This window comes from Homo sapiens, chromosome 1 (assembly GCF_000001405.40).
Source record: "Homo sapiens chromosome 1, GRCh38.p14 Primary Assembly".
Classification (NCBI taxonomy): domain Eukaryota; kingdom Metazoa; phylum Chordata; class Mammalia; order Primates; family Hominidae; genus Homo; species Homo sapiens.
In genome coordinates, this window is record NC_000001.11 from 52,761,495 (window position 1) to 52,780,906 (window position 19,412).

Genomic DNA, 19,412 nt, shown 5'->3' on the forward strand with positions numbered 1-19,412 from the left:
TTTTGCTGTGAATGACAGGATTTTATTCTGTTTGTTGGCTGCATAGTATTCCATTATGTATGTACACCACATGTTCTTTATTCATTCATCTGTTATTGGACACATAGATTGATTCTGCATCTTGCTATTGTGAATAGTGCTGCAGTAAACACGGGGTACAGATGTCTCTTTGATAATTTTGATTTCCTTTCCTTTGAATAAATGTCCAGTAGTGGGATTGCTGGATATGGTAGTTCTATTTGTAGTTTTTTGAGGAACCTTCACGCTGCTTTCCATAGAGTCTGTACTAGTTTACATTCCCACCAACAATGTATAAGAGTTCTCTTCTCTACATCCAGTATTTGTTATTTTTTGTCTTTTGTTAATAGCCATCCTGAGGTGAGATAATACCTTGTTTTGATTTGCATTTCCTTGATGATTAGTGATGTTTAGCAATTTTTTTATATATTTGTTGGCCATTTGTATGTCTTCTTTTGAGAAATATCTATTCAGGTCATTTGCCCACTTTTAAATTGGATTGTTTAGTTTTCTGTTGAGCTGTTTGAGTTTCTTATATATTCTGGATATTAATCCCCTGTCAGCTGAATAATCTACAAATATTTTCTCTCATTCTGTAGGTTGTCTTTCCACTCTGTTGATTGTTTCCTTTGCTGTGGTGTGCAGAAGCTTTTAGTTTGATATAATCCCATTTGTCTATGTTCGTTTTTGTTGCCTGTGCTTTTTTTTTTTTTTTTGACAGGGTCTCACTCTGTTATGCAGGCTGGAGTACAGTGGTGTGGTCATGGCTCACTGCAGCCTTAACCCCCAGGCTCAAGCAATCCTCCTGCTTCAGCCTCCCAATTAGCTGAGACTATAGGCATGTACCACCCTGCCCAGGTAGTTTTTAAAATTTTTTGTAGAGGCAGGGCCTTACCATGGTTCCCAGGCTGGTCTTGAACTCTTGAACTCAAGTGATCCTCTTGCCTCGGCCTCCCAAAGTGCTAGAATTACAGGCATGAGCCACCGTGCCTGGCCTGTGCTTTTGAGGTCTTGTTCATAAAATCTTCTCAGATGAATGTCCTGAAGTGTTTCCACTATATTTTATTTTTTTCATTTGTTTTTTTGAGACGAAGTTTTGCTCTTGTCACCCAGGCTGGAGTGCAGTGGCGCCGTTTCAGCTCACTGCAGCCTCCGCCTCCCAGGTTCAAGCGATTCTCCTGCCTCAGCCTCCCAAGTAGCTGGGAGTTACAGGTGCCCGCCACCATGTCCAGCTAATTTTTGTATTTTTAGTAGAGACAGGGTTTCACCATGTTGGTCAGGTTGGTCTCGAACTCCTGACCTCAGGTGATCTGCCAACCTCGGCCTCCCAAAGTGTTGGGATTACAAGTGTGAGCCACTGCACCTGGCCCTCTGCTATATTTTCTTCTAGTAGTTTTATAGTTTTGGGTCTTACATTTAGGTCTTTGATTCATTTTGAGTTGGTTTTTGTAAAGGTGAGAGATTGGGGGGGGGGGGTCTAGTTTCATTCTTTTGTCTGTGGATATCCAGCCTTCCCAGCACCATTTATTGACCAGACTGTTCTTTTCCCAGTCAATGTCATTGGTGCCTTTGTCAAAAATCAGTTGATCGTAGATACGTGAATTAATTTCTAGGGTTTCTCTTCTGTTTCTGTGTGGTCTATGTGTTTATTTTTATGTTGGTAATTTGCTGTTTTGGTTACTATAGCTTTATAGTATATTTTGAAGTCTGGTAGTATGATGCCTCCAGGTTTATTCCTTTTGCATAGGATTGCTTGGGCTATTCATGGTCTTTTGTGGTTCCATACAAATTTTAAGATATTTTTTCTATTTCTGTGAAAAAGTCATTGGTATTTTGATAGGAATTGCATTGCATCTGTAGATTGCTTTAAGTAGTATGTATAAAAGCAGTTTCTTTTAGAATTATTTTTTATTTTAAGAGGCAGGGTCTCGCTTTGTTACCCAGACTGGAGTGCTGTGGTGTGATCTTGGCTACTTTGAAATTTTTTTGTAGAGACAGGGTCTCACTGTGTTGTCCAGGATGGTGTCAAACTGCTGGGCTCAAGCAATCCTCCTGCCTCAGCCACCCAAAGTACTAGTATTATAGTTATGAACCACCGCACTCAGCCAGTAGCAGTCTTAATTAAAATAAATCTGATGTTAGAGTTCTACTTATCGGGGTCTGTGATTCTCTTGTCATAATCTTTTCTCATTGTATCTGTGTCTGCATGCTAAAAATTTTCCAGGAAATATGGGCATAAGAGCTAGAAATCAGAGTGAGAATTTTAGCATCTAATGATAATGTTTCTGTGTCATACTGTCAATCTAATCTAAATTTATAAATCTTGACATGTTCAGCCTTCTGGTTCAGGATAAAACTGAAAATTTGAAACATTACGAATTGCTTCCTTGACTAGCCAAATAGACTTTCTAGGTGCTTGAAAGCTTACACTCCCAGACTAGCACCCCACTTATTTGTAGATCACATTGCTGGTCACTTCAGCTGTCTGTCCTAAATCAGAAAGAAAGAAAAAATGCTTTGGGGCACAATCCTTGTATTTATGCATCTGTATTTTACTCCTTGAAAGAAGCCCTTGAGTTATCATTTAGAGCATGTTGATTCTTTATTTTATTTTATTTTATTTTATTTTTGAGATGGAGTCTTGCTCTGTTGCCAGACTGGAGTGCAATGGCACTATCTCGGCTCACTGCAACCTCCGCCTCCCAGGTTCAAGTGATTCTCCTGCCTCAGCCCCCTGAGTAGCTGGGATCACAGGCATGCACCACCATGCCTGGCTAATTTTTTTTTTTTTTTTGTATTTTTAGTAGAGATAGGGTTTCGCCATGTTGACCAGGCTGGTCTCAAACTCCTGACCTCAGGTGATCCACCTGCCTTGGCCTCCCAAAGTGCTGGGATTATAGGTGTAATTTACCACACCCAGCCAAGATTTTTTTAAAATAAGAAAAGAGCATGAGTTCTATAAATCGGTCCTAGGTCTGAGTCCTGGTTCCAACATTAATTTGCTCTTTGACCCTGGATAAGTTACTCTGCAAGTCTAAGATTCCTCATCTGTAAAGTGTTGATAATTATAACTCCCTCACAGGGATTACTGTGAATATTTAAATAAGACAATGAATGCAACATGAATCTTGCTTTCATGGAGCGTATAGTCCAGTGGGAGACACAATTAGGAAGTAAACATATAGAATTACAGCTTGTGCCAGGTTCTCTGAGGGAAAAAGAACACTGTTCTCTTAAGAAGAATAATAAAGGAAGGGAGATGTTTTAACTTGGATGATCAGAGAAAGCTTCTAAAGTGGTGATACTAGACTGAGACCTGAATGACAAGGAGGGAAGTCAGTAACATAAAGGCGGGCTCCTCGGCACTGCCCAGGAGTTCTGGAGTATTTCCCCAGTAAACTAGTGTTCCTAACAGTAGTTTCAGATGTTCTTTGCTCTTCTCAGACTTTCTACCATTTATCTTAGGAAGAAAATTGAAGCCATCAGATAAAATTCCCTTAACTCCATGTAAACCACTGCTTCCAATTTTTCTGAGTGATCTTTTTTTTTTTTTTAATAGAGATGGAGTCGCACTATGTTGGCCAGGTTGGTCTTGAACCCCTGGCCTCAAGGAGTCCTCCTGCCTTGGCCTCCCAAAGTGCTAGGATTATAGGCGTGAGCCACCACATCCAGCCTATCTTTTTTTTTAATTAAAAAAAATTATTTTTTGAGACAAGGTCTGATTCTGTTTCCCAGGCTGGAGTGTAGTGGCATGATCATAGCTCACTGCAGCCTTGAACTCCTGGACTCAAGCAGTCCTCCTGCCTCAGCCTCCTAAGTAGCTGAGATCACAGGTGCATGCCACCAACATCTGACTAATTTTTAAAAATTTGTAATGGAGATGATGTCTTTCTATGTTGTGCAGGCTGGTCTTGAACCCCTGGGCTCAAAGCAGTCCTCCCACCTCAGCCTCCCAATTACAGGAATGAGCCACCACACTCAGTTTTTTGTTTTTTGTTTTTTGTTTTTTCCCAGTCAGGGTCTTACTCTGTCACCCAAGCTAGAGTGCAATCATAGCTTACTATAATCTCAAACTCCTGGGCTCAAGCGACCCTTCGACCTCAGCCTCCCGACTAGCTAGCTAGGACTACAGGTATGTACCACCATGCCCGACTAATTAAAATTTTTTGTTGTTGGGATGGAGTCTTGCAATGTTGCCCAGGCTGGTCTCAAACTCCTGGCCTCGGGTAATCCTCTTGTCTCATCCTCCCAAAGTACTGGGATTATAAGCATGAGCCACTGTGCCTGCTCATTATTTCTTTAAGTACTTTTTCAGCCACACTGTCTTTCTCCTGTCCTTGAGATATTCCAGTGACACAAATATAGCTTTAGGTTTTTGGTTTTGGTTTTTTTCCCATTCTGTTCTTGTTATTTAAATTAGGTAATTTATGTTGTTTTATCTTCTAGTTCACCAGTCTTTTTTCTCTGTTCTCTATTTTACTGTTGACCTCAAGCATTATTATATTTTTCACTTCTAAAATTTTTATTTGATTCTTCTTTATATCTTCTCTTGCCTTGCTGAGTCTGTTTTCATTTTTTTCTTTTTTTCCTTATTAAATTTTTTTTAAATTTTTTTTTTTTTTTTGAGATGGAGAATCTTGCTGTGTCGCCCAGGCTGGAGTGCAGTGGTGCGATCTTGGCTCACTGCAACCCCTGTCTCCCAGGTTCAAGTGATTCTTCTGTCTCAACCTCCTGGGTAGCTGGGACTACAGGCGTGTGCCACCATGCCCAGCTAATTTTTGTATTTTTAGTAGAGATGGGGTTTCGTCATGTTGGTCAGGCTGGTCGCGAACTCCTGACCTCATGATCTGCCTGCCTTGGCCTCCCAAAGTGCCACCGCGCCTGGTCTGTTACTCATTTTTTTTCAAGCATATTTGTTTACTTTTGAAAATTTAATTGCATTTTTTTATGGCTCCTTTAAAATCGTTGTCAAATAATTTTAACATTTCTGTTACCTTACTGTTGGCATATATTGATTATCTCTTTTTGAGTTTGAAGTCTTACTGGTTCTTAGTATGATTCAGAGTAATTTTTTATTGAAACCAGGACATTTTAGGTGATATGAGACTTTTCTGTTTTAGTTTGAGTCACTGACGTCACTCCAGCAGTGGAAGGTAGGAGCACTGCCTTGTTACTGCCAGATTGGGGTTAATGTTCTTTGTAAAAATTTTTATAGGCCAGGCACAGTGGCTCACGCCTGTAATCCCAGCACTTTGGGAGGCCGAGGCGGGCGGATCACGAGGTCAGGAGATCAAGACCATCCTGGCTAACACGGTGAAACCCCGTCTCTACTAAAAATACAAAAAATTAGCTGGGCATGGCAGCGTGTGCCTGTAGTCCCAGCTACTCCAGAGGCTGAGGCGGGAGAATGGTGTGAACCCGGGAGGTAGAGCTTGCAGTGAGCCCAGATCGCGCCACTGCACTCCAGCCTGGGTGAAAAGCGAGACTCCGTCTCAAAAAAAAAAAAATTATTTTATTTTATTTATTTTATGTTATTTTATTTTATGTTATTTTTATTTTTTATGTTATTTTATGTTATATTATTTTGTTATGTTTTATGTTGTTATTTTATTTTATTTTGTTATTTTATGTTGTTTTGTTATTTTATTTTATGTTATGTTATTTTGTTACGTTATGTTATTTTATTTTATTTTGTTATTTTATGTTATTTTATTTTGTTATTTTATTTTATGTTGTTATTTTATGTTATTTTATTTTGTTATTTTATTTTATGTTATGTTGTTATTTTATTTTATGTTATGTTATATTTGAGGTGGAGTTTCGCTCTTGTTGCCCAAGCCGGAGTGCAATGGTGCGATCTCAACTCACTGCAACCTCCGTCGCCTGGGATCAAGCGATTCCCCTGCTTCAGCCTCCCAAGTAGCTGAGATTACAGGCAGGCACCATCAGGCCTGGCTAATTTTTTGTGTTTTAGTAGAGACGGGGTTTCACCATGTTGGCCAAGATGGTCTCGATCTCCTGACCTTGTGATCCATCCGCCTCGGCCTCCCAAAGTGCTGGGATTACAGGTGTGAGCCACTATGCCCAGCCAGATTAGGGTTAATGTTCTTTCTGGTTCCCCACTTGGCTTCTCTTGACACCCAAGGTGCAGGGCTATGCAGAGGTTGGAATTCTGACTCCCCACTAGGATTCTATTGATACTTCCCTAAATGAGAGGGGTATGGGTATGTCATTTCTGCTTCCCAGTTGGCTTCTACTGACACCATGTTGGGAGGAGGTGGCCTCATTACTGTTGGGCAGTTGTGAAAGTCCTGACTTTCCACTAGACTTCCTATGACAGCACCCCAGCAGGGAAGCAGGTAGAGAACTTCATCGCTGCTTGATGAGTGTTGAAGTTCAGGCTCCCCAGAAGGTATCTACTAACATCGTGGTGGGGGATAGTTCTTACTACCCAGCAGGAATGAAAGTCCTTGCTCTCTACTCAGACTTCTCTAACACCTCCCCTGTGGGCAGATTGGGGCAAGTAATTACAGCCTGGCAGGGGTAGAAATCTAGGCCCCTATTGGCATTTGCTGGCATGGGTGGAGCTGCAGTTTTTTCTGTCGTGTTTGGCTGAAGTAGAGCAGTTACTGTCTACTAGCTGTTTCCTGTCTTACTAGTTGCTGCTTTCCTGGTACGTTGGCTAGAGAGAGCAGATTTTGGGGGAGGTTTTTGTCTGTGCCCATTGGTGTTTCCAGGCTGCTGGCTCCTTCAACTTTAGATCTGGGATATATGACCAGAAAAAAACCAGGAACTTTTCTGCGTTGTTCCATGGGTCCCAAGGTCCCCCCTAGCTGATCTGCTTTCATCTCTTCACCTTTCAGAGTGATCTAGCTCCAGCTCACCTTCAGCCTCATTTCTTCTGTCCCATTTGCATGCTTATATCCCCAGAAATGCACTGCATCTATGGCTCTAGCTATTTCTTATGTTCAAGCAATATAGAAAGAACTACTTGCCATTTCCTAACCCCGTGATATGCTTTCACATCTTTAAGACTTTGCTTATGTTGTATATTCTTGCTTTAATATACCTAACCTTCTTCCTCTTTTTTTTTTTTTTTTGAAATGGAGTCTTGCTCTGACGCCCAGGCTGGAGTGCAGTGGCGCCATCTCGGCTCACTGCAGCCTCCGCCTCCCAAGTTCGAGTGATTCTCTGCCTCAACCTCCCAAGTAGCTGGTATTACAGGCGCGCACCACCACACCCATTTAATTTTTGCATTTTTAGTAGAAACGCGGTTTTGCCACGTTGGCCAGGCTGGTCTCGAATTCCTGGCCTCAGGTGATCCATCCGCCTCGGCCTCCCAAAATGCTGGCATTATAGGCATGAGCCACTGCACCTGGCCTACTAACCTCCTTTCTCTATCTTTGAATTCTTCCAGCATTTTCAAAGGCCTTACTCAAAGATCACCTCTCCCATCAAATCTTTTCCAGATCTTCATTCATGATGGTTTACTTCCTTTTCTTTGTTTTTGTGATACTTTATACTTGACATTGATATACCATATATCTCATTTTGTTATGGCTGTTTGTGTCTTTTTTACTCCATGGGATTATGAATCCTTTGACTATAGGGGCATATCTTATTTTTCTTTGTATCTACAACATTTAGAGTACTTGACATATAGTAATTGTTTAATAAACTGTTTGCTGAATGGACCCCATCATGAAATTTACTCTCCTGAAATAGAGTGCAGGTAATTTGAAAGGCTGTCTCTAGAACTACATTGTTTAATCGAAATGTAATTTTAAATTTACCGGTGGCCACATAAAAAAATAAAAAGAAAAACAAGTGCAACGAGTTTTAATAATTTTTATTTAACCCAATATATTAAAAAATGATCATTTCAACCTGTAGTATATATAAAAAATTGAGATACTTTACATTATTTTGTTGTATTAAGTCTTCACAATCTGGTGTATATTTTGTACTTTATAGCTGACCTCACTTTGTACCACCTGCTTTCCAAGTGCTCTCCAGCTGTGTGGAGCTAGTGACTATGTATTGGGCAGCACAGCTCTAAAATGTAATGGAGTTCTTAATATGTAATTAGTCATTTTTGTCCACTTTGGCAGGTTTTGCACAGGCCTTTCTTGATTTTAACTGTGTAACTGTAATTAAGTCTGCAAAACTCATTAGAGAATAGTGCTCCCTTTTAAAAACACCTCATTTCTAATTTAAGGGTGACTGGCTGGCAGCCTAGCTGCATTTTGAGTATGGGCCAGCTAAGATGCCGCCTTAGAGTTCCTCTCATGACTTCAGGCTATTTATTTACCTGTCCTCAACTGCTCATTCACCCCATACTATTCTTAGACTACCTGTTTTTGGCATGATTGTTACTTCTTTCACAGTCAATGTTGTTTAGTTGATATGTGATATGTTGATGTGCCTCCAGAGTATCATATGCTTGTGACACTGTTGATTGGTAGACAGGTAGATCTCGAAGGCACTTCAAGAGGTTACTGTGTCGACTTCATTTACATTCATCTGCAGGAGGGGGAGTGTGGGGGGAAGCTGTAACTACTATATATATATATATATATATTTTTTTTTTTTTTTCAGAGACAGGTTCTCACTCTGTCACCCAGGCTGGTGTGCAATGGTGCAATCATAATTCACTATAACCACAAACTCCTGGGCTCAAATGATCCTTCCATCTCAGCCTCCCTAGTAGCTAGGACTATAGGCATGACCACTGTGCCCAACTCGTTTTCAGTTATTTTGCAGAGATGGGGTCTTGCTATGTTTCCCAGGCCTAGATCGCTTTAATAAGGTTTGAGATCTGGCTAGTGGTTTATTAATGAATTACAAGGCATTAAGTGCATGCTAAATATATTATGTGTATATGTGTTTGTATAATAATATGTTAAGGTGAATTTAAAGGATAGGCTAGAAATGTATTGGTAACAAATCAAATACCTTAACACAAGGTTTATACCTCACTTGTGGTACATAAACTCTGCAAGTCCATAGAGGATTCTGCTTCATGGTCACCCTAGGGTCCAAACTGATGGAGGGTTTCTCCTCATATAACTATACTCTCTAGAACGTGAAGTCTCCTCGTTTGTCATAGCAGGAAAAGACAGCATGGAAAATCATGCACTGGCTCTCAGGTGCTTCAACATATAGTGCATTGGCCAGAACTAGGCACATGGCTCCAGCTAACTCCAGGGATGGGCTGGGAAATGTAGTTGTCTGGTAAGGTAAGAACTAGATGTTAGTGGATATCAATAATGTCTGCCACAGTCCTGATTCTGCCACTTGCTAGCCCTGTGATCTTGGAAAGCCACTCTCTGAGCCCCAGTTTACTCATCTACAAGTTGTAAACAATAATAATCTCACCTAAATGAATTGTGATTATCAGACGAGATACTGTTACATGGGAGCGCTTTGGAAATGTAAAGTGTGATGGAAATTTTGGCTATTCTTTAACTGTTTTTTGAATTTAAAACGCTGCTTGTTTTTCCACAGGTCTATTGAATGATGGAACTGTGGGTATTTTTAGGGGCAACCAGATGCGCTTAAAGCGAGCCTGCATTCGCAAAGCAAAGATCTCTGCTGTTGCTTTCCGGAAAGCTTTCTGCCACCACAAGTTAGTGGAACTTGATGCCACAGGTGTGAATGCTGATATCACGATTACAGACATTATCAGTGGGCTTGGCAGTAACAAATGGATCCAGCAGAATCTCCAGTGCCTGGTGCTGAATTCATTAACTCTCTCCCTCGAGGATCCTTACGAGCGCTGCTTCAGCCGGCTTTCTGGCCTTCGAGCTTTAAGCATCACGAATGTTCTCTTTTACAATGAAGACCTGGCTGAAGTTGCCTCATTGCCAAGATTAGAGAGCTTGGATATTTCTAACACCTCAATCACAGACATCACTGCTCTACTGGCCTGCAAAGACCGACTCAAGTCTCTAACCATGCACCACTTGAAATGTTTAAAAATGACAACTACCCAGATACTGGATGTAGTTCGGGAACTCAAACATCTGAATCATCTTGATATCTCAGATGATAAACAGTTTACATCAGACATAGCTCTTCGCTTACTAGAACAAAAAGACATCCTACCTAACCTTGTTTCTCTGGATGTTTCTGGGAGAAAGCACGTGACAGATAAAGCCGTTGAAGCCTTTATACAACAACGTCCAAGCATGCAATTTGTAGGTTTGCTGGCTACTGATGCTGGTTACTCTGAATTCCTCACAGGCGAAGGACATTTGAAGGTTAGACTTTAAAAATGTATTATTTTGTCAGGCTGACCAATATCTTAGTTGCATAAGACTCTATTAAAGATGAATGTCTGTAATATATGGAACATGTTCATGAAACAGGGCTGCATATAGTTGAAAGGCTTAGAGTCCTAATTAAAATCTCAGCTTCATGACCCAGAACAAGCTATGATGTCACTTCGAGTTTTTATTTATTTGTAGAATAGATATTATTCTTACCTTGCAGAATTCTGAAGATTAATAATAATCTATGTAAAGGGCAAGTCACGTAGTAGGTCCTGGCTAAACAATAGGTTGTCTTATGATGATAATGTTTAGCTATTTTGAACCATTTACATATATGGTTTTTTTGTTTTTGTTTTTGTTTTATTTTAGTTAAACAATCATTTTATTGCTTGAGTACACAGACAAATTTATGCGACCAGGGCAGAGGCTGTAGATGATTCATATTTCCAACTGGGAGGGAGGACTCGCTTGGTCTTATAATATTGAGCCAAACGGTGAATCTGGCTCTCTATCAGAATCAGATGGAATTTAGCATCCTTATCCTTTCTGTTCCTCTCAAGATGCTTTGAACAGCAACTGCTTTCTTAATTAAATGGTAGAGATCTTCAGGAAGATCAGGAGCAAGTCCCTTAGACTTAAGAATTCTTAAAATTTTATTGCCTGTCACAAAACGTACTTGTGCAACACCATGTGATTCTCTCACGATTACACCGATCTGTGAAGGAGTAAGGCCCTTCTTGGCCAGTTTGTAAATCTGCTCCTTCACGTCGTCAGATGTCAACTTCAACCAAGTGGGGAAGCTGCGTCGATAGGGTAAAGCCGACTGGGACAGGCCCTTCTCAGGAGCACGCATACGACCCATGATGGCGGCGATCAGGCAACGAAAGGCTTGTTTTTTTTTTTTCTTTTGAGACGGAGTCTTGCTCTGTCGCCCAGGCTGGAGTGCAGTGGCGCTATCTTGGCTCACTGCAAGCTCTGCCTCCCGGGTTCACGCCATTCTTCTGCCTCAGTCCCCTGAGTAACTGGGACTACAGGCGCCCGCCACCACGCCTGGCTAATTTTTTGTATTTTTAGTAGAGACAGAGTTTCACTGTGTTAGCCAGGATGGTCTCAATCTCCTGACCTCGTAATCTGCCCGCCTCGGCCTCCCAAAGTGCTGGGATTATAGGCATGAGCCACCGCGCCCAGCTACATATACTGTTTTTAATGGATAACTTCAGAGAAACTAAGGACACCCCTTGTTGAATTGAATACCTAGTGGAAGATCAAGTTTTCTAAGGAGATCTCTACTGTAGAAATGGTAGAATTTTGCTTTTCCTAAGATTTCTCATGCCTAATGGTTTAAATTTAGTTTAACAAACATCAGTTGGATTTGGTAGAGCTTGGGATTCAAAAATGAAAATGAGGCTGGGTGCAGTGGCTCACACCTATAATCCCAACACTTTGGGAGGCAGAGGTGGGCAGGTCACTTGAGGTCAAGAGTTCAAGACCAGCTTGGCCAACATGGTGAAACCCCGTCTCTACTAAAAATACAAAAATTAGCCAGCCATGGTGGCATGTGCCTGTAGTCCTAGCTACTCAGGAGGCTGAGGCAGGAGAATCACTTGAATCCAGGAGGCGGAAGTTGCAGAGAGCCAAGATTGTGCCACTGCACTCAAGCCTGGGTGACAGCGTGAGACTCCGTCTCAGAAAAAAAAAAAAAAGAAAATGATATAGGATCTGCCTCCAAGGAGCTTAACCTAATGGGAGTGGTGATTATATGATTAGAAATACATTTTTATATTTATACCTTTTATAGATGTATGCTTTAAACTATATATATATATATATATATATATATATTTTTTTTTTTTTTTTTTTTTTTTTTTTTTTTTGAGATGGAGTCTCGCTCTGTCGCCCAGGCAGGAGTGCAGTGGTATGATCTTGGCTCACTACAACCTCTGCTTCCCAGGTTCAAGTGATTCTCCTGCCTCAGTCTCCCAAGTAGCTGGGACTATAGGCACACACCACCATGCCCGGCTAAGTTTTTGTATTTTAGTAGAGACAGGGGTTCACCATGTTGCCAAGGCTAGTCTCGAACTCCTGAGCTCAGGCAGTTCGCCTGTCTTGGCCTTCCAAAGTGCTAGGATTACAGGAGTGAGCCACCACCCTCGGCCTGGTTTCTCTGAGAAATTGATGGATGAGTGGAGATCTTAAGGGTGAGTAGCTCAGTAGAGAGCATTCCAGGCAGACAGAATAATACGTGCAAAGACTGCGTTAGGAAGAGAGGTGAGACCCAGGCATCAGTATTTTTTAAAGCTTAGATGATTGCAGTGTCCAGCCAAACTCATGAATCACTGTTTTACAATAACTTTTTTTTTTTTTTTCCTCAGAGGCAGGGTCTTGCCCTGTTACCCAGGCTGGAGTACAGTGGGCATGAACAGGCTCACTGCAGCCTCTACCTCCTGGGCTCGAGTGGATCCTCCTGGCTTAGCCTCCTGAGTAGCTGGGACCACAAGCATGTGCCACCATAACTGGCTAATTTTTTTTTTTTTTTTTTGAGATGGAGTCTAGCTCCGTCACCCAGGCTGGAGTGCAATGGCGTGATCTCGGCTCACAGCAACCTCCACCTCCCAGGTTTTGACGAATTTCCTGCCTCAGCCTCCTGAGTAGCTGGGATTACAGGTGCCTGCTATCATGTCCAGCTAATTTTTGTATTTTTGGTAGAGATGGGGTTTTACCATGTTAGCCAGGCTAGTCTTGAACTCCTGACCCAGGTGATCTGCCTGCCTCGGCCTCCTAAAGTGCTAGGATTACAGGCGTGAGCCACTGTGCCTGGCCTAATTTTTTTTTTTTTTTTTTTTTTTTTTAGTGTTTTTGTAAAGATGGGTTCTTGCTCAGCGATCCTCCCACCTTGGCCTCCTAGTTTTGGGATTATAGGTGTAAGCCCCTGAGCCTAGCCTGGCTTTCTTACCATAGAATTTCCAGCTCTGTCATCAGTATTTCCCCACTCGATTTTCTCTTCTCACTATTTCCCTACTCAGTTTTCTCTTCTGTTACCATCAGTTTCCTGAACCTTCCATTTCTCCAGAACTAGAATTCTTACATTTGTTGGCCACCTTATCCCATACTTGGATTATCTACCATGCTGTAGCTCCCAACTCATGAGAACATTGAAAATCTGCTAAACCCAGTGTTAGTTCTTAGTCTTCATTTTATTTGACCCAAAGTAAAATGGTATTTGTCATAATTGATCTTTGCCTCTTCCTTGAGATACCTTTTTTTTTTTAACTTAGCTTCCAGGATATCATACTTGTCTTGTTTTTTTTTTCCTACTTGTCTTGCTACTAAGCCTCAATTTCCTTTGTTGGTTCTTCCTCATCTTCCAGGCTTCTAACTGTTGGAGAGTTCTGCACCTCAGTCCTTAAATCTATATGCTGATGACTCCTAAATTTGTGTCTTAACTTAGAGCTCTCCCTTGAAGTCAGACTCCTATATTGAACTGCAGTAATCAACATGCAGTGAAGGTACATAAATGTTTTTTGGCCAGGCGTGGTGGCTCATGCCTTTAATCCCAGCACTTTGGGAGGCCGAGGTGGGAGGATTGCTTGAGCTCAGGAGTTCAAGACTAGCCTGAGCAACATAGTGAGACCCCCATCTGACACCTGTAATCCCAGCACTTTGGGAGGCCAAGGCGGGCGGATCACTTGAGGTCAGGAGTTCAAGACCAGCCTGGCCAACGTGGTGAAACCCCGTCTCTACTAAAAATACAAAAATTAGCCAGGCATGGTGGCACATGCCTGTAATCCCATCTATTCAGGAGGCTGAGGCAGGAGAATTGCTTGAACCTGGGAGGCGGAGGTTATAGTGAGCCAGCATTGTGGCACTGCACTCCAGCCTGGGCGATAGAGTGGGTCTGTGTCTCAAAAACAAAAAAACAACAACAAAAAGATATCTGTTAATATCCCTGCTCTTGAGGAATTCTAGTCTAGTGGAGAAGATACAGACTAATTTAAAAATAGCTTTAGTCGGCCAGGCGTGGTGGCTCACGCCTGTAATCCCAGCACTTTGGGAGAAAAAAGAATATACTTATAATTTGAGCAGCCAGATGTGAGGGTTTGTCACTGGGTAGAGAAGTGTTGTTCACTGAATAAAACATAGAGGCAATGTCTGGATGCAGTGGCTCACGCCTGTAATCCCAGTGCTTTGGGAGGCTGAGGCAGGCGGATCACCTGATGTCAGGAGTTGGAGACCAGCCTGACGAACATGGAGAAACCCCGCCTCTACTAAAAATCCCAAAAAAATTAGCCGGGCGTGGTGGCGCATGCCTGTAATCCCAGCTACTTAGGAGGCTGAGGCAGGAGAATTGCTTGAACCCAGGAGGTGGAGGTTGTGGTGAACCAAGATGGCGCCATTGATTTCCTGCCTGAACAACAAGAGCAAAACTCTGTCTTAAAAAAAAAAATATATATATATATATGCAATAAAGTTGGCTTAGAGCACGCCTATAATCCCAGCACTTTGGGAGGCCAAGACATGCGGATCACTTGAGGCCAAGAGTTGGAGACCAGCCTAGCCAACATGATGAAACCTTGCCTCTACTAAAAATACAAAAAAATTTAGCCGGGCATGGTGACAGATGCCTGTTGTCCCAGTTACTTAGGAGGCTGAGGCAGGAGAATCACTTGAACCTGGGAGGTGGAGGTTGCAGTGAGCCAAGATTGTGCCACTGCACTCCAGACTGAGCAATAGAGAAAGACTGTGTCTCAAAAAAAAAAAAAAAAAAATTGGCTTAGAGTCTTTAACATTCCAGTAACAAGAGTTCTTTAATTTTATATTCAAGGTAACTTGAGGATATATTTCGTATAAGAGATTTATAAAGCTGTTGGAACCAACCAAATGTGGGTAAAGGAAGAATAAAGTCTGATTTAGATTATTTTATATTTCCCTCTTAGAGTTTTTTTCATTTCACATTTCAGCATTTTTTGTTTTTTTCTGAATTTATAAGAAAAAGTTCTGGGTGATTCAATGAACTGAACACTTTGAAAAATTTTATTAAATACCCATTTGTATATGTGAATATGTAGTCCAAACCAGTTTGTGTATGTATGTTATACATAAATAGAAAGTTTAAAAAGGGTTTAAAGAAGTAAAGTAATGGAGGCTGGAAGTGGTGGCTCATGCCTGTAATCCCAGCACTTTAGGAGGCCGAGGTTGGCTGATCATTTGAGGTCAGGAGTTCGAGACCAGCCTGGCCAACATGACGAAATCCCGTCTCTACTAAAAATACAAAAATTAGCCGGGCGTGGTGGCGGGCGCCTGTAATCCCAGCTACTCAGGAGGCTGAGGCATGACAATTGCTTGAACCCGGGAAGTAGAGGTTGCAGTGAGCCGAGATCGTGCCACTGCACTCCAGTCTGGGCGACAGAGCAAGACCGTATCTCAAAAAAAAGGAAAAAAAAGAGAAAAGACGTAAAGTAATGGAAGTAAAGAAACTTTTATTATTATTTCAACAATCTTAGAAATTCTTCATATGTACCCTTGTGTCATGTGACATATATCAATACTGTAGTCTAATTCATTTCAGACTCTTGTAGCATATCCTATTAATGGTTGAAATGTCAACCATGATACATCCCTTCATTTCCTCAAAGCTGCATATTCCAATCTGAACGTTTATAGGCTTTTTTGTTTTTTTTGATAGAGTCTCACTCTGTTGCGCATCATGGAGTGCTGTGGCACAGTCATGGCTTACTGCAGCCTCAAATTCGTGGGCTCAAGCAGTCCTCTTCAGTCTCCCAAGTAGCTGGGACTACAGGCATGCACCATCACACGTAACTAATTTTTCTTTTCTTTTATAGAGACAGGGTCTTACTATGTTCCCCAGGCTGGTTTTGAACTCCTGGGCTCAAGTGATCCTCCTGCTTCTACCTCCCAAAGTGCTGGGATTACAGGCATGAGCCATCATGCCTGGCTGAATATTATATGTTTATATACAACTTAGTTACTGAGTAATATATTTTTAAAATATTTGATTACTTTTGTGTCACACTGTATAATGTTACTGCCAAAAAAGACTAAATCTTCCCCTTATTATGAGATAGTCGCTCTGAATGACGTTTTTTGGCATTTTTTAAAACTTTATTGTAAAATAAAACAGAGACAAAGGCAGTAAATAATTATATAGCTTAATGAGTTGAAAATAAAGTGAACACACTTGAGACCATCACTCAGGTTAAGTAACAGAACTTTGTCATCTACCCCAAAGCTCGCTTCAGCCTCCCAAAGTGGTGGGATTACAGGCGCGAGCCACTACACCCAACCATGTCCTTTCATTTCTTTATAATTTTATGACCCAACTATTTAGGCACCTGTATAATCTTGTCTGTTTAAAACAATTTGATGTCTTTTGAGTATCTTTTAGTTTATAGGTTTCTCCTCATCCCTTTCTTTTCCTTATAATTTGTTTATTGAATAATCTATCGTTTGGATTTGTAGAGTTTCCCTCAGTCTGGATTTTATTGTATTTGTTGATGTTTTGTAGAGACAGGGTCTTGCTGTGTTGCCCAGGCTGGTCTGGAACTCCTGGGGTTAAAGTGATGCTCCTGCCTCAGCCTCCGAAAGTGCTGGGATTACAGATATAAGCCACTCTGCCAGCCTGGATTTTGCTGATTGTATACTAATGGTGCATCTTTCTCTTTGTATTTTCTGCAAATTGGTAGCTGGATTTGGAGGCTTAATTAGACTTACGTTAGATCCCTTTGGCCAGACCCTTAGGTGTTGTATTCTTACGTTATGAGGTACATAAATATCTAGTTGTTTCTCTTTCTGTGATGTTAGCAGTTATTGACACTTAGTAGCTAGATCTATCAATTCATTGGGGATTATGGTGATATTTTAATCATTTATTTTTCACTTACTAGTTGGATTACTTTTATAAAGAGCCACTTTCTGCTACCTACGTTTGGTTGCCGAATGGCACCTGAACTACATTTTAAGATAAGCGTATTATCTTAAAATAATATACTTTTATGTTGGGAATCCCTAGAAAGACTTAATTTTAAACAGAACCTCTTGGTGCTGAAAAGGAGCGTGATAAATCTGGGGAAATTAATTGATACATTTATTTGATGAATACTTATGGAGAAAGTATTCTGAGCCAAGCATAACGCTAGCTATTGTGGTACAATGGTGAATGGATCAATGTAGTGGGGGATTATGATAATAGCTCTGAAAGAGATGTTTCAGGGGACCTAACTTAAATCAGTGGCTCAACAAAGACTTCTCTAAGAAAGTGTCCTTAACTTGAATAAGGAAGAATGAGTAGAAATTAGTCAGGTAAAGAGAGAAAGGAAGTTTTCAGTCAGAGAGGACATTGTATGAGTGGTCCTTTGCTGAGAAAAAGCTTGACTTACGGAAAGGTGAGGAAAAAAGGTCATACAGTTATAACATTGTGAGCTAGAGGGAGGGGATTAAGAGGCAGATAGGATCCTAATCAAGCGGTAGGGCCTTATAATAGTGTTAAATATCTTGAGATCTATTTTAGGTATAATACAGAAAATTTCGCCCATGGTCTTATGCTAGGTTCTGAGCCTATCTAATATACATCTCTTCAAGACAGATATAGCTGTTTAAGATGACTAATCTGGATAGATTGGAAAGTATAGTCATTTTTATTTGATCCCAGCTTTACATAACTATCCAAGATACCATGTATACAAATGATATTTATTTATTTATTTAGAGACAGAGTCTTGCTGTGTTGCCCAGGCTGGAGTGCAGTGGCGTGATCTCAGCTCACTGTAACCTCCGCCTCCTGGGTTCAAGCGATTCTCCTGCCTCAGCCTCCTGAGTAGCTGCAGTTACAGGCATGCACCACCGTGCTTGGCTAATTTTTTATTTTTAGTAGAGATGGAGTTTCACCATGTTGGCCAGGGTGGTCTCGAACTCCTGACTTCACATGATCCACCCACCTTGGCCTCCCAAAGTACTGGGATTACAGGCGTGAGCCACCGCGCCTGGCCACACATGATAATTAGATAGAGAAAGAGAGAGAATTCTAAAAGCTAATCTGGTTATGTTCACAGGTGTCTGGGGAAGCCAATGAAACTCAGATTGCAGAAGCACTGAAGCGTTACAGTGAACGGGCATTCTTTGTTCGGGAAGCTCTATTTCATCTTTTTAGTCTGACTCATGTGATGGAAAAAACAAAGCCAGAAATTTTAAAGGTAAGAATAAGAAACTGGATATGAAATTTTTGAAATGATCTCCCTGGGCAGATGATTTTTTGAAGAAAATTGGTGAAAATTTGCATTTAGTCTTTTTTTATTATTTATAATGTGATTGATGACGTGTGATTTCAATCATTAGCTATAAACGAGAGAGAAGATAGTTGTACAATGTTATTGAAGCTTCACAATAATCTCATTAAGCAATATAAATGTCTTGTAGTACATATTTATCTACCTAAAACCAGTGACTACCATGATATTTTATCACCAGCTACTGTAGAAAATGAAAGTATATGACTGGAATCAGGACACTGTATTGTATATTAACCCTATATTGCTTCCCAAATAGATTTTTTAGAAATACAATATTGCACCAAATATGGTAGTTCATGCCTGTAATCCTAGCACTTCAGGAGCTGAGACAGATGGGTAGCTTGAGCCCAGGAGTTCGAGACCAGCCTGAGCAAGATGGCAAAACCCCATTCCTACAAAAAGTATTAAAAAAATAAAAAAAAGAGAGAAGTAAAGACAAAGCAAATATTGAAATTCTATAAGGTACTTTTCCATGCTGTTTAGAACCTACTATGCATTCTTAACTGATTTACATTACTCCGCAATTAAGTTTTGTTTTGTTTTTAAGACATAGGGTCTTACTGTGTTCCCCAGGCAAGAGTGCAGTGGCTGTTCACAGGCCTCAAACTCCTGGGCTCAAGCAATCCTGTCTTAACCTCCCAAGTAGCTAGGACTACAGGTGTGTACATCACAGCACCTAGCTATTTTAACCAAAACAGCTTTTGAAGGGCAAGAAAGGAGATTTCTTAATTTTATTGAATGCTTTGGGCAACATTTATCAAAATGTGGTCCTTTGGGCCAGGACGCAGTGGCTCACACCTGTAATAACTTTGGGAGG

General features: G+C 41.0%; 1 protein-coding gene and 1 pseudogene across 3 annotated transcripts in view; one reads left to right on the forward strand and one right to left on the reverse strand.

Annotated features, from left to right (window-relative positions):
• ZYG11B (zyg-11 family member B, cell cycle regulator) overlaps positions 1 to 19,412 on the forward strand; it is a 100,884-nt gene that overhangs the window by 35,042 nt on the left and 46,430 nt on the right. For all 3 annotated transcript variants that reach the window (NR_199864.1, NM_001441954.1, NM_024646.3), the window contains 2 exons: positions 9,526 to 10,280; positions 18,359 to 18,499. Coding sequence is in view for 2 of the 3 variants with exons in the window: in NM_001441954.1 (NP_001428883.1) it covers positions 9,526 to 10,280; positions 18,359 to 18,499 (896 nt within the window). In the remaining variant the exon portion in view is untranslated. The remainder of the gene's footprint in view (positions 1 to 9,525; positions 10,281 to 18,358; positions 18,500 to 19,412) is intronic.
• On the reverse strand, positions 10,656 to 11,180 carry RPS13P2 (ribosomal protein S13 pseudogene 2; annotated as a pseudogene).